The sequence below is a fragment of the Homo sapiens genome, chromosome 7, assembly GCF_000001405.40.
Source record: "Homo sapiens chromosome 7, GRCh38.p14 Primary Assembly".
NCBI lineage: Eukaryota > Metazoa > Chordata > Mammalia > Primates > Hominidae > Homo > Homo sapiens.
Genome location: NC_000007.14, coordinates 120,795,113 through 120,810,846, shown reverse-complemented (window position 1 = coordinate 120,810,846; position 15,734 = coordinate 120,795,113). Strand labels below are relative to the sequence as shown.

The following is a 15,734-nucleotide window of genomic DNA, read 5'->3' as shown; positions in this document are numbered from 1 at the left end:
TCCTTGAGCATTAAAGTGATTTCTCATTTTTTTCCTTAGTACAAAATACCTCTTCATTTATCACAAAAATCTATACATTGAGATTGTCCAATAACTACATTGAATACTCTGAGCTAAATTTAGGCCATGAGCAAATATAAATTTAAAATAGTATTTGTCAATTAGAAGACATTCCGAGTATGCGTGTGTACGTGTGTGTGTGTGTGTGTGTGTGTGTGTGTGAATCTGTGTCTGTGTGTGAGCTACAGCTGTTGATATTTTGCTTTTTATCACCAGGTTCCAGTACAATGGTCAGATATGGTCACTTTGAAAGCCAGGATGACAAATTATGGATTACCTAGATATCGGTGGCTTACTCATGCTTGGAATTTTTTTCAGAGAGAGGTAAGTGCTACAATTTCTGAGGTAGAGAGAGTGAAGTAAGTGGTGCACCTTCAAACCAGATGTTTAAAGCTTTAGCTTTGGTAATTTCCTCTGTGCTGAAAAATTAAGCCTGTGATTCAGTAACCTCTGGTGCAATTATTTCTTGAAAAATATCTTAGGTAACTTCATGGCCTGCTTTTCTTCCCATGTATACCATTTCCCCTTTATTTCACATGGTTCACATATATTTAAGAACATCTGAAAAGCCATTTTGCTAAATTATTGTGAAGTTTTCTTTTTATGAGAGTTAACTTGATAAATATCCAAGTTCCAGACAAATAGATTTTTTCATGACTTTTAGAGCTCTCAATATTTTAAACATAATTTTAGTTTTAAAAAAAATGATTGTTCTCATTTGGGACTTTGAAGTCAGTATATCATTAATGGCATGATCTGTTCAGAAAGACCTTGGTTAAAATCATAGCTGTGCTGCTTGCTATTAAGTGAGCTTCTATAATTTACATAACTCCCTTAAGTCCTGGTTTTCTCACCTTTAAAATAGTGATAATAAAAATACCTCTCTCTTCAGGTTGTTAAGAAGATTAAATGATGCGATTTCATTTAGCCTATGGTTATTAACAATAACATTACAAAGTATAGGTGCGTTTAGCATTTCTTACCTAACCGCCATGTAGCACTGCACCCAACCATCTTCTCAAGTGGGGACTGTATTCAGATGTTTAAAATTTGGTGACTTGGAGTTAACCATTGATCTTGCTTCAAACCAAGCTCTTCTTCCAAGCAGTTTCCTTGTGATTGAAGTGACATTCCCAGATGGATAAGTATTTCAGTTTCCTTTAATTTATCTTAGTGCTAGGCCGCAAAGCATTTGAGAATTAGTGTCTTACGTGATAGATAGCAAGATCTCTGCTCACTTACTTTGTCCTGGATATGGGCAGAGGTTCAAGTCCAGGACAATCTCCAAATCTGGCTGTGTACAACTGTTGAGATGGTAAAAATTATCATTGTAACACAGATTTCCTGTTTATTTAAGTGCTTCCTAACTTTGTTTATTTATTGTATATTTGTGCTAAAAACAACACAAAGAGAAAATAAGCATTAGGAAATTTATAGTAAGTTATGTCAGCTACTGTCCTGAGTAGATGCTGCCCAGAGCTCGTTATTTTCTGGAATTTGTGATGTAGACAGTGATAATCCAGGTTAAAAAACAAAGTGAGTTTTTTTCTGATGGAAGCTGCACCTAGATGGACAATGTACAAGTACTGCAAATGATAGCACACTTATTTTTAGATTTGTTACATGGTAAGTTTCCTCCTCCATTATCATAAGACTATTTTATGTAAATGGAGATGGTGAAGACTTCTGAGAACCTGAGGTTTTTAAAATCCCTTATATCCCTTATATTAGTTTGCAATGACTGCTTGCGGATGGCCATCTTCTCCCTGTGTCTTCACTATGTCTTCCATATATATATTAAATATATATATATATTTAAATACCCTCTCCTAATAAGTACATCAGTCATACTGGATTAGGGCCCACCCTAATGACCTTATTTTAACTCAACAATCTCTATAAACTCTATCTCCAAATACAGTCACATTCTAAGGTACTGGGAGGTAGAATTTCAACATATGCATTTGGGTGGGGGACCCAATTCTAGAATAACCTGTATTGCAGAAAGCAACTTTATCAGGTGCCAGTCTCCTTTGCTCCTCATTCAGTGCAATTCTATGCACATACCGCAACTTAGCGGACTCTCACTTAAGCCCCAGTGACGTTTGTTTAATACGTTTTTAGAATACTAACTTTAAAAAATGTGTTTATTTATTTATTTTAACATAGTAGTTGGAGCATAGGCTTTGGAATAGACTGTGCCACACTCTGGCCTGTAACTTTAGCAAGCTACTTGACTGTCAAAGGCCTCAGTTTACTCATATGTAAAATGGATGGTATTTTCTAGAGCTTGACACATTAGCAAGAGTAGTACTATCTCACAATATGATATTAAAGTAGACAGGAAAATGACAAGGAGATGTAGACCACAGTAATATGTTGGTATGATGTTGGGCTTACTTAAAGGAGTTTTCAGAAAAAGTTTCAGAATAAATTCATTATCTTCTGTTGAAGAAGGACAATTATATACAAATGCTTTCTAAAATAAAAGTAAGTTCAGCACTGAGCATCGTATACTTATAATGAGAAAGAACATTATATACTTATATTTGAGAAAGTCATTTATGTAGAATATCTTATTTCCTGACAAAGCCATATAAATAGGCTGTTCCTTGCTGGATGGAGCTAGAGAGTTCCAAGAACTGTTCTGTCATCAACACAGAAAGGACTCATGTCATTAGCAAAGGAGACAAATGGATTTTCTTTGAGTGCAAGAATTTAAAAAGATGGACTTGGAAAGTTAACCTTTCCTTGTTTATGATTTTTATGAAGTGAAGTCTTTATACTACATATATTATTTAAGGATATTTAATGTCTTATGTAAAATATGTGACATCAAATTATTGACTAAATTTGTGATGTTTATAGTATACTCATGACTTTGAGAGCAAGTTTAAAAAGGAAAAATATATATAAAGTATTTTTTAAGTTTCTCAAAATTTCAGTATTACCCATAGCTTTCAGTAATTCGTCATTTATAATACTCTTAAGATGATTTTTTTTTCTGTTTAAAAATCAGACATTTAGGCCAGTGTAACAACGCAAAATACTTTGTGGTATTTTCATTGTTTCCTTTTGCATGAGAAGTTCGGAATTCTTCAAAGTTAATTTTAGTTAAATTTTGAAATGGTGGGGGATTGTGATATTTTATGATGCAATGTCAAACCTGGACATAGATTGATCTGTTGGACTGCATAATTTGCATAGCCAGTCACTCTTGGCAAAGTTCTCAGTGACTGCCCATAGTCCTTGTTTCTGGCTAGAGGGGAAAGAGCAACCTCCTTCTCCACTCAAGGACAGAAAATTATTCATCATAGTTAATTGTTCTGAATCTAATCTATAGAGGTCCTTAAGCAGTGTTTCCAAACCTTGATCAGAGACAGTTTTTGCTAATCTTTGGAGAAATAAGATAAAAAAGTAAAAATGTCAGTATAGTTTTTCTTAAATCCAATTTTATTCAAGCTAAAGGCACACACACCATTTCTTCTGAGATTATGGTAATAGAATATGAACATTTATTTCAAGAATCTTACTCAGTTGAATAAACACCAGTTGGCCAGACCTATGTTTATTTCTTAAAGTTTTTGGATATTTTACTAGCTAAGGAATCGATGTCTGCTAACTTTTTGTGATGTGGGCTTTGGTCAACACATGTTTTTACAAAGATTACAGAAACTTTTAATATAATATTTGAATATGTTGGGCAATAGAAAAATTTGATTAACTGGCCTTTGGTGGTTAGAGGTTTAATGATTAAAGTGTCACCTACTTGGGTTTGTTAGTGTGTATGTTCAATCTGTTGCTATGTATAGTCACTTGTAGATGAGCTTACAGTTAGGGAGTGAGTCTCAGTCATGCCTGATTTGTTTTTATGTGTTATGGGCATTATTACTCAGAATACTTCCATTATGCAATCGTTAGCCATGGTGTTCCTTTACTACATTTCTATCATCAACATAGACTGTACATATATCATTAGGTGATGACAGATATAGCTCTGGGTACAAAAATTTTAAAAAACTGATGTTTAATCTCCTATAAGTTAAGAAAATATTTTTGTGGTTTCTGAGGCTGACTAGTGATTTTTTTTGCAGTTTAAGTGCTGTGGAGTAGTATATTTCACTGACTGGTTGGAAATGACAGAGATGGACTGGCCCCCAGATTCCTGCTGTGTTAGAGAATTCCCAGGATGTTCCAAACAGGCCCACCAGGAAGATCTCAGTGACCTTTATCAAGAGGTGAGGCCATATATGGTTAATTTATTATGGATAAATGTTTTCTTAGGAATAACTTTAAAGAATCAACAATATGCCAATGAAATTTTCCTTCTCTGTCTAAATGTAAAAGGCCTTAAAATTTTTCTCTAATATGGGGAGAAGCAGAAGAAAGCTAAAAAACAATATAAAAATCTAAACATTAATCACATTTTAATAAAGGGAAGTGGGAAAGACCAGGTTTTGTAATTAATTGGATTTTGAACTGTTTTGTTTTGAATCAAGTTCCTACTGCTTGGGGATCCTTTGAAACAGACACAGGCAGAGTATGTAGCTAACACTGGATGTGCAAGAAGCAGAGGGTTTGGAGTTCCTGGACAGAATACGTATTTTAAGAGCCTCCACATAGACCACCAACACATAGAAGGGGAAAAAAAAGAACCTCTCCAAAGAAAATGCTACCATGCTACTCTCCAGCTCCCCCTGCTGGCTAATGATTAGTGATGTCAGTTTTAGTTCACTGATTAAGTTTTATGCTCAGTGGCGGTAAAGTCAATCCTCATGTGGCCAGGAAATTTACATACTTGTGTTTTCTGGGAGAATTGATCAGAATAATCAATTACTCCATTTTAGCAGAAGTTTTCCTATTCATTCATTTTTACTGATTATTTTCAGACTTTGTTAGCAGTAAAATTCTATTTTCAGATTAAAATCTAAGACTGCACTGTCCTCTACAGCAGCCAAATAGCTACGTGTGGCCATTTGAATTAAAATTAATTAAAATTAAAATATCTGTTCCTCTGTTGCACTAGCTACATCTCAAGTGCTCAACTGCCACTTGTGACTAGTGGCCCCTGTCCTGGACAATGCAGATGTAAGACATTTCTATCATCACATAAAGTTTTGTTAGGCAGTCTTTATCTAGAATGGAAATGTAAAATGTGAATCAGATAGAAAGGAAACTGCTTAGGCTAAGGGGTTGGGATCATTCCCCACATACACCTCTTGTCAAGTACCTGGTATCACAAGGCACTGCTCACACTATTCATAATATAACTCATGTATATATAGTAGGGCTATAAAGAATGAAAATTTAAAACAAAGCAACAGGATTTATAACACCTGCATTTTGATATATTTCAAGGTGGTTATCTTAGGAGGTTATGCTTTTTATTCCTAAGAATACTACCATTCAAAACATCTTTTAGACTCTCTGCCAAAGGCAGTTGTTGAGATGGGCAGTCAATTTATATTGTAAATTAATTAATTTGGATGTTGTAATTAATTAAAAGAATGCTGTACTACCTATACAAGTGATCCATTATATTCATAGATATGAGTAACTCTGGGCTGTTACTCATATCTCAGAAGACAAGAATATGTCACCATTTAAGGATATCCAAAATAAAGTGCTTTGGGCTCTGAAGGCATGCCCCAAAGGAGAGTGCCAAGTATTTTTTAGGAGTTTAAAAATTGTTATAATTTCCTAGAGCTGCCATAACAAAGTCCCACAAACTGAGTGGCTCTGACAACGTAAATTTATTGTCACAGTGTTCTGGAGGCTAACTCCAAGATTAAGGTGTCAGCAGGGTTGATTCCTTCTGAGGGCCATGAGGAGAAATCTATTTCATGCTTCTCCCCTAGCTTCTGGTGGTGTGCTGACAATTTTCCTGGTTCCTCGTCTTTTAGAAAAATCACCCTGATCTGTTTCATCTTCACATGGTGTTTTCCTTGTCTGTGTGTCTCCAAATTTTCCCATTTTATAAGAACAACAGTCATATTGGACAAGGGGCCCACTGTCCTCCAGTCGGACCTCATCTTAGTTACATCTGCAACAATCCTATGTTCCAATAAGATCACATTCTGAGGTACTAAGCTCTTTAACATACGAATTTTGGGAGGACATAATCCAACCAATCACAAGAATTATTCAAACAGTTGAATAATTCAGGCTTTTTATTTTAAAAGATGATCAGAATACTTTTTGTCATGCTCACACTGCTGAGAAGCATTATGTTTGGATGTTATTGTTTTATACATACTTTGTTTAGAAACATTTGGCTTTGAATGAAAAGGAATATACAAAATATAGTTTATTGAACAGAAAGTTGTTGTAGGTTAGTGTCTGTAGGTTCTTCAGTGATTATGGCACTGAACCTAGTTCTTTTGTTTTGGGTGAAAGCTGAATATTGGCTAGTGTCTGTAGTAGGAATCATCAACTAATAAATGCGGCAAACTCCTGCTTATTCCATAAAACGGAAAACAGTACTAATATTTCTGAGGTAGTATTACATATAAACATATTATGGATATTCAAATATACTATAACTTACTATTAGACATTAAAAGAACAGATGGCTACAGTATAGTTAGAAGTATAGATGTGTAAATTGAAACCTACCAAATTTCCTAGTGTGAATTGTCCATTTGTTAGTTTTTACTGGTAGCGAGTCAATATGGACAATTATTGGGCCACAACATTATGGTATAATTTGTATCTGCTTTAGTGATTAATACTGATGATATGATTATAACTACTATTGATCATGAGATCAACTTACCGGATCTTCCCATAAAGTCTGAATATGGACTAATTCTCTTCAGTTTTGCTTTATTTAGCTGAAGACTGTTCCACATTAAACATTTAATATAATTTTATTGTTGTAAAACTGCAATTCATCCTCACTGCTTTTCTTAGATTGTTTTCACTAATAATACTACTTTATAAAGGGATGCTTTACTTTTAGGATATCTATAATTGCTTGCTCCATGAATTTTGAAATTGAAACAAGCCATACTATTGTGCATGTGCAAGTTGATAGCCCAGATTATTTTGAAATTTGTTCATATTTTTATCTGAAGAATTTTAATAGCAAGCTGGCATTGTCAGCCATGAGATGTTCTTTAGACACAGACTTCCAGCTAAGATGGGGGCTTATTATATCAGAGTAACCTGCTTTTGCATTTTACAACTAATAACATATGCTGATATTGGTAATTATACAGTATGCAATTATATGTATAGTTGATTTACAAAAGAGGATCATTTAGTAGTTTTATGGCATAAGTACAATTAAATCCATAATTAAAAATAAGACATAATTCTACTTTGCCCTGGAGAACATATGTTTCCTAATTACGGTGTGTCCAGAGATCATTCAGTAGGAAGATGAGGGTTCCAAAAGGAGAAATAAGTGAGGAACAGCTGGAGGTATTTGGGATGTTTATTCAGAAGTTGAGAGCACTGAAGGGAGATAGTTGAGATGTGTTCAAATATTTCAAAGTTCATAATTCAGAACAGGAACTAGACTTACACGTTGTTGCTCCAAGGGCCAGAAGTTACAGGAAGGAAATTTTGAATCAATAGAAGGAAGACCTTGCTCATCAAAATCCATCCAATTGTGAGACAGGTTATCTTGTAAAATAATGAGTGTCTCATCACTAAAAATATTGAAGTCAAGGTCAGATAACCATGTCATTGGTAGTGTAGAATGGGTTTTTAAATTAAGAATGAATCCAGACTAGATGAACCGCAAGGTCTCTCTTATCTTTCATATTCTGTAAGCTCAGAGATAAAAACTGGCTTTTTTCCTGCAATCATTCTTCAGTAGTCTGAAGTCAAGGAAATAAATCATTCTCAACCATCTGGTAGCCTGCATGGTCCCTGACCCAATAATATTTTATGACGCATTTGGAAACCTGTGAAAAATGACAGCAGAAATATAGCGACAATTGCACATTTAGAAACATTCAGGAGCCTTGTTAGGTTTGGCACACAGCTCTTCAAATATCCATAATAAGCTACAAACTTGTATTAAAGTATAGGTTTAAAAATCTATAATGAAAATACCTCTGACCCTCAGTTTGGATCTATCACATTCACTCATTCAAAATGATGATACGATAACCAATATTCATTCAGAATATTTTGTGATTGCCTACTGGGTTCCATTTGCTCTTCTAAATGCTAGGGATATAGTAGAGAGTGTTGCAGACAAAAATCTCTTCTCCTATGTAATTTATATTCTAGTTACGGATACATACGTTTAACAAGAAAAAAAAACAGCAATAGAAAATAATTTCAGGTGGTGGTAAGCACTTTGAAGACTCTGAACAGGGTAATGTGCTGGAGCTTTGTTGGTGAGGGAGTTACTTAAGATAGATTGTTAGGAATAGGCCCTCTTAGGAGGTGATATGTGAACTGAGACCAGTTGACAAAAAGTAAGCACCCATGCTGGGGAACAGTGTTTTGGGCCGAGGAAACTGCAAGTATAAAGGCCCACCCTTGGGTGGTCTGGGCCCGTGATTACTGACAGCCCACTCCCCTGTTCTTTGGAATCACCTGTGTAACCACACTCTAAATGCGAGGTGTAAGACTTGGCCTTGGCAAAATATCAGACTCAGAGTTTAAGTTGGCAAAGCACAAGCCTATGGTATCTCTTGTCTTCTCTCACCTGCTGAGTTTTTCATCATATCAGTTACTGAAGTGCAGTGTCTTGACTTGATCTGGAGAAGAGAAGCATAAATAAAAGACATAAAAGACAGCAGTTAGAAAATAAGTCTTTATAGAGCTGGGACACTCAACCTCTTGCCCATGGACCAGGGCTCTTCTTGGATGGACTTCAAGGAAAAAATGATACTGCAAAAATTGTTTTCAATATTTTATATCCATTTTTTTTCCAGGAAATAAGAGCCATAGCTTTCCTCAACTCTTCTTGGGGTTCCATATGTAAGAGAATAAGAAAACACAGTTGTAAAGAATAGTTGCAGCACTTACTGTCTCAGATAGGAAACTTAGCATAAGTAGCCCCTCAAAAAGGCTGAAATGCCATTTTACTCCTCTGTGTGCTACCTCAAGAAAAATAAATGGAAGTAAACAGGCTCACAATAGGCCCTGCTTCAAATGGACTGACTCAAAATGTAAAACAAAGAGGGACAGAACGTCAACTAAAATATACCTCCAGAGACACATTTCTTTGTCTAGTAGTTAGAAGAAAGACTACTGTTCAAATATATTGGCTGCTTCTTCAGAAAAGTAGTATTCCCACAGATTTATGTAAGGGCTGGACACAGACATGTCCTCCACACTTGTGTGCCTTTGGGACACTTTTCCTTTAGACCCTCAGACTTTCTGTGTTCCATGTGTTGGGTTACAGTTTTAAATATTCTTAATAATTTCCACTTTGACAAACCCATTTATGCCTCTTTAGAAGTTTATTTATTTCTTCTCCCAATGCTAGAAAACATTGACAAATAGAGGAAATTGGGAACAACAGGGGGTGTGATTTTGAAGGGATGTGACGTTTTTCTCCGAGTCTTGGCTTACAGGAAAAAGAACCCCATGATGACAAATGTGTATGGGTTACCAGTGCTCACAGAAGGTAAACAGACTTGTAGAGGTGCTCCTACAGGTTAAAAGTGAGGGTAGCTCATGTTGCTAAAGAAAAAAAAAATCATTTAATGACACTTGTTAAAGACAAGATAAGGAGCCGGTTACAGTGATTCACGCCTGTATTCCCAACACTTTGGGAGGCTGGGGCGGGTGGATCACTTGTGGTCAGGAGTTCTAGACCAGCCCAACATGATGAAGCCCTAACTCTACTAAAAATACAAAAATTAGCTGGACGCTGTGGTGCATGTGTGTAGTCCCAGCTACTTGGGAGGCTGAGGCAGGAGAATCACTTAAACCTGGGAGGTGAAGGAGAATCACTTAAACCTGGGAGGTGAACCTAGGCGGTGAAGGTTGCAGTGAGCCTAGATTGTGCCACTGCACTCCAGCCTGGGCAACAGAGTGAGACTCTGTCTCAAAAAAAAAAAACAAAAAAAAACGATAAGGAAAACTTTATTTCAGCAGGGATTATTGGGATAGGAATAAGGCCACTGCAGTGTGGTCTTGCAGTGGGGGAGACAGATTAGGCTCAATTCAGAATACAACACGGGCAAGTGGGAATTTATAGTCAAGGAACAGGTTGGGGGTCAGAGGATGGAAAATCATTAAGAGGAAACATAGTGGTGAGGGATGGGATTCTATCAAACCTTACCTAACAAGATTCGTACTGAAGGCAGGCCAGGGTGATCAGACGTCAGCTGGACGATGGGTGGATAAGGAAGAAGCCAGTTAGATATCAAGGATGATCAAGTATGAAGAATGGGGAATCTCACCATTCTTACCAGCTTACCAAGATTCTTGCTAAAATTGGACAATGCAGAGACAAACACCAAGTCCAAACGTCAAGGTTCGGTTGAAAAAGAACTCAGTGGAGCCTGAACAGAGTTTGGTCATGGAGAGAAACTGTATCAGTGGTAAACCATGTGGGATGGGCTGTTTGAGGGTTTTATTCTCTCCGTTGAGTGTTGTATGATGTTTGAGTTCATGAATTCACACTCTGAGCCCTCATCCTGATTAGAAATACTGCTCTCACCTGTCTCCTCTATACTCTGCTGTCCTTGGCAAATGATATTTGTTTTATAACCAATATTATTTTTTCTGGGCAATATTTTAGTTCTCAACACTTTTTGTTAACACTCCTTTCCTGCTAACATCTTTGACCAATTAGAAAGATGAGCCAATACAGTATGTCTGTTTGTTTTGACTGATAGAAATAACTTTTGCTTTGTAATTTTCATATACAACATTCTATTATAATAAATATTTAATATAATAAATATATTAAATATTTATTAATATTTAATTAATAGTAATATATCATATTAATTATTAAATTATTAAATATTAATATAATTAATATATTAAAATAAATATAATAAATATTTAATATATTTATTATATATAATTTAATTAAATTATATGTATAAATTAAATTATATATATAAATAAATGAAATATAATAAATATTTAATATAATATAATAATTATATAATTAAATTATATATATTTAATTATATATTTTTATATATTTAATTATATATAAGTATATATAATAATTATATTTAATTATATATATAATTATATATAATTATATTATTACATATAATTATATAAATAATTATATTTAATTATATATATAATTATATATAATTATATATAATTAATTATATATAATTAATTAATTAAAAATAATTATATATAATTATAAAAATAATTATGTAATTAAATTATATATAAATTAAATTATATATAAATAAATTAAATATTATAATAAATATTTAATATAATAAATATATTAAAAATAAATGTTTCCTCATCACTCCTGAGCCGTAAGTGGAGATCTGACAGAGTGTTGTGGGAATAAAAGGCCATGGTTGGGAGTGGACTTGGCCTTCTGGCAAGCTCCACCTAGTTATAAGGTCAACTATTTTTTTTCCCAGACAACCCAGCTCTCTGGTTATTAGTAGGATTCTACTTCAGACCAAGTAAATTGCCACACTTGAAACAAAAAATTAGGGGCAAGTATTAAAAGAGAAGGCTAAGGCAGGGAGTGAGAAGTCATAGCTTAGACCTCCAGCTAGGTACTGGCTAGTTACACCAACATAGAAGTTGGTCAAGTCTGCATAGAACAGATTCCCCACATCAGTGGCTAAAAGAAAAGGTAGGAATTAGAAAATATTTAAGTGGGGCACCAAAAAAAGGAGGTTGATACAGAGCAGGCAATCCTTAATTGCTATTGTCTTTATGATTGAGATAACCAATGGGAACACATAGTAGTGGTAGTAACTCTTTGGGCTTCTAATCTTAAAGAATAAGTAGCTGTAAGCCACGTGCAGAAAATATTAGGGTGGCACAGGGTCGAAAAAGGGCATTCCCAGCCAAGAAATAATGGGGCAAAGTTAGAGCTGGAAGCAAGAGAGCACAGCTGGAGCACAGGGTGTGAGAAGGGCCACATTTACAGGGATACCGAAGGCAGGGATTGGATTCTGAAGACTCCTGTATGTCCTGATAATATGTGGGCATTTTTTACTGAAGTCTGCGAATAGTTGCCAAATAAAAAGGGAAACATATTCACAAATTTGAGGCATTACTATAAAAAGACGGTTTAGGACAATGTAGTCATAGGATTCTGATTTTTTAATAATGAAACTTTGTTCTCAGATAAACATCCGTAAACCCTCCTGCTCAGATAGTCAACGGTAGGCAGTTTGCAGTTTGCAGGTTCAGTGGTTATTTAGATGGAATATCCCCAAGAATTTCCATTCTCAGGGTTCTTTTATATAAAGTCAAAGATGCTCCCTCCTGTCTCTCTACTGACTTCATTATCTCCTCTGCAAGTAGCTGCTGATGAGATCTGGTTGACTGTGACTTGCGGTGGTATCTGTTTTATCATTCAAAGCCCTGCAGGATCAATTTGGGCTTGGTAGGGGGGAAGATCCCTTTTTATCTTCAGGCTTTGCTTGATCGAATCAGGACTTGAACTATTTTGCCAGTTTTGTTTCAGGTATACAAATGCATTCTTCTTTTCTTTCACTCTGTTTCTCGACATCATTCAATTGTGAGTTTCCTGTTCTCTATTCTGTCTATTCAATCAAACAATGTTTCCTTTTGGACTCTATTAGTAGAGACTTGCAAATTTTGCCCTTAAAATTTATGGATGTGAAAGCCATGATAATATTTTGACCTGAAAAAGTACCTTACGAAATAACAATTTTAGATTTAAGCTTAAACATCATGCTATTGGCATTGTAGAGAATGAGTTGAGGTGGGGAAATTAAGCTGAAGATTGGGTCTTAAGGCAGGGAAATTAAGGTAGGAAACTAACAGATAAATCATGTGATGGTAGGGGCTGGAATTCAGGTTGTGGCATTTAATATGGAGAGGAAGGAATGAATGTGAAAGATATGTCAGAGGCAGAATGAACAGGACTGGGTTATAAATTGGCTGTGGGGAGTGAACGACAGGGAAGTTGCAAGCATTCTTGACTCTGATTTGGACTCTGACAGTGAGGAAGCCATTTACTGAAGGGAGTGGTTAGAGTTGAGTAGTTCCATTTTGGAAATACTGGATTTAAGGTTCTTGTCAGGTATTCCATGTGCAGAAACCCAGGAGGCAATATGAGCTTCGGAGGCAGAACTCAGCTAGAGATATGGATTTTGTGTGTGTACTAATTAAAGAAAGTGCTAACTCAAAATACAATGGCTTGGATAAGCTGGGAGTTTATCTCTCTTTCATAGACCAATGACCTAGTCTATGCTGCCAGGCAGCTCTGCTGCACAAGTTCATCCAGGGGCCAGAATGATGAGACAACTTTGCCTTTTAAATATCTTGTCTTCCAAAGTTGGTCCTGTTTTTCTCCAGTTCCAGTCATGGAGAGAAAGAGAATGAGAAAGAGAACTCCCAATGCATGAAGGCCTACACTTAACACCACTGTTCAGATTTTATTGGCAGGAACTCACATGGCTTTGCTTAGCTGCAAGGGAGGCTGGGAAATGTGGTCAGGCTAGGAAGCTATATTCTTTTTTTTGAGATGAAATCTGGCTCTGTCGCCCAGGCTGGAGTGCAGGGGCGCCATCTCGGCTCACTGCAAGCTCCGCCTCTCAGGTTCACGCCATTCTCCTGCCTCAGCCTCCTGAGCAGCTGGGACTACAGGCGCCTGCCACCACACCTGGCTAATTTTTTTTGTATTTTTAGTAGAGACGGGGTTTCACCATGTTAGCCAGGATGGTCTCTGTCTCCTGACCTCGTGATCCGCCTGCCTCGGCCTCCCAAAGTGCTGGGATTACAGGCGTGAGCTACCGTGCCCAGCCAGAAGCTATGTTCTTATATAAACACTAATTACTGTGGATCAAGTGGAGGACAGACTGGGTGGGTGAGTGGGTGGATGGACTAAGTTTACACGGGTGTCATCAGTGTACATGAGGCAATGAAGGTATGGAGGGAAATAAGACCACACAAGGAAATGATGCAATGTATGCAGCCAGGGACAGAACTCTGTGACCTGCCAACACTTAAGGGCAGAGATACTAAAATTTTGAGATGGTGACTACATGGTAAAGAGCAAGCTGAGTGTAGAGATTTTTTTCTTCTACATCCCAATTCCCTTATCTCTACTAAGATATTAATAGTACCCACATCACTGTAATATACAAAGATAAATTGAGATACGACATGAGAAACTGTTAGTATACCACTTACCACAGTGGTAGCCGATGACAACAATAACAACAATTTTTTAAGGTATTTACTGAAGTAAGTAGAAAATTTATTGATCTATGATTAGATTTTTGACTAACTAAATTGTCCTTAGTTTTGCTTGAAATGACAGTGAAGTGTGTATTTTCTGGTTATGTGCGTTTGTGCTGCTGAAGGTAGATTTTCAGGTCAAAGTTTTTGGGACTTGGTCCAGTTTTTCACTTTGCTTGTTTTAACACCCTCTAACTTCTTATAGATGCAAATTTAAGGTGCCCAAATGGGCCCCCAAGAGAGAAAATATTTGCAGGAGGGGTTTGTGAATAAACTCTGCTCCTTCAGGCTGCTGGAACTGGCCTCACTAGTGAGCAAGAAGCCTTCCAGGTTTTCTGACTCTAGCCTCTTTGTAAATACATTTTTTTTGGTAAAAATGAAAAATGATCAGTAAATGCAGTCTTTTACATTTCGTTATTCTACCTATGTAATAGGGATATTGCGAGGGTTAAATGAGATATGAGGACCTTTCGTATATCAAGAAATAATAAGATGACTTTTTTCTACTGCATTTTCTATGCACAGATTTAGTTATCTTTCTGTTCTCCTAAGAGAGAGCTAAAGAACAGAAAGTCTTGTAGTGAATTTTATTGCTTGCTGCTTTTTTTAAAGGAAGCATTATTTCCCTGCAGAGCTTAAGATTATCAGTGGAGAACTTTTGGTCTAACCTGTTTAAATCTTGTGAGCTCATTAACTGCTGTCATTTACTTCAATTCTAGAAGAAAGAGGGTTGAAGACTGTATATTTTCATCTGATAATCAATATAGCTATTTCAAATGAGAGTTATGTTTATTTACAAAAATATTAATATTGGCATGTATTGGCACCTAGATTTTATTTACACTTTATCTTCATAAGCACATTAAAAGGCTGCCCGACTTTTTGATGTGGCCTGTGAATATTGAGTACTGAAAAGCCATGGGTGTTCTTCCAATTTTAGAAACTCATTTTGGAGATAGATCAGAGAATAATTTCAAGTGTATAATTTCCTCAAGTGAAATGAGGCATCCTGACATGGCTTCAAATAGATTCCAGGAAATGTAGGGGATTTGTGATTTTTCTCTGATAAAGGTAGTGTTATTATTTACAGCTAATAGTTGACCAGAATTTTAATATTGTAGCAAGTAAAGTAGGTTAGCCAACATGTCTTATTCATACCTTTGCATTATCTGAAGTTATTAACATGGGGCTAACCTAGCTTTATTTAGGAAGAAAACATTTTCAAGTAAAATTAATTCAGTGTTTTATTTTGAGAAAAGCAAATAAGTACACTTCAGTTCTTTCCTATTCTGAATAAAATACTCTTTATGAAATGAAATGCAGTT

The 15,734-nt window shown here is 35.8% G+C and overlaps 1 protein-coding gene across 5 annotated transcripts in view, besides 1 other annotated feature; it reads left to right on the top strand.

Moving 5' to 3' along the window:
• TSPAN12 (tetraspanin 12) overlaps positions 1-15,734 on the top strand; it is a 71,016-nt gene that overhangs the window by 47,489 nt on the left and 7,793 nt on the right. For all 5 annotated transcript variants that reach the window (XM_047420096.1, XM_005250239.4, XM_047420095.1 and 2 more), the window contains 2 exons: positions 277-384; positions 4,155-4,298. In XM_047420096.1, coding sequence (XP_047276052.1) covers positions 277-384; positions 4,155-4,298 — 252 coding nt within the window. The remainder of the gene's footprint in view (positions 1-276; positions 385-4,154; positions 4,299-15,734) is intronic.
• Positions 4,744-4,793: a silencer, noted in NCBI's record as "silent region_18572". NCBI's record gives its function as "represses an Ori minimal core promoter by ATAC-STARR-seq in GM12878 lymphoblastoid cells {active_cell/tissue: GM12878}" and the evidence as "EXISTENCE:reporter gene assay evidence [ECO:0000049][PMID:35858748]".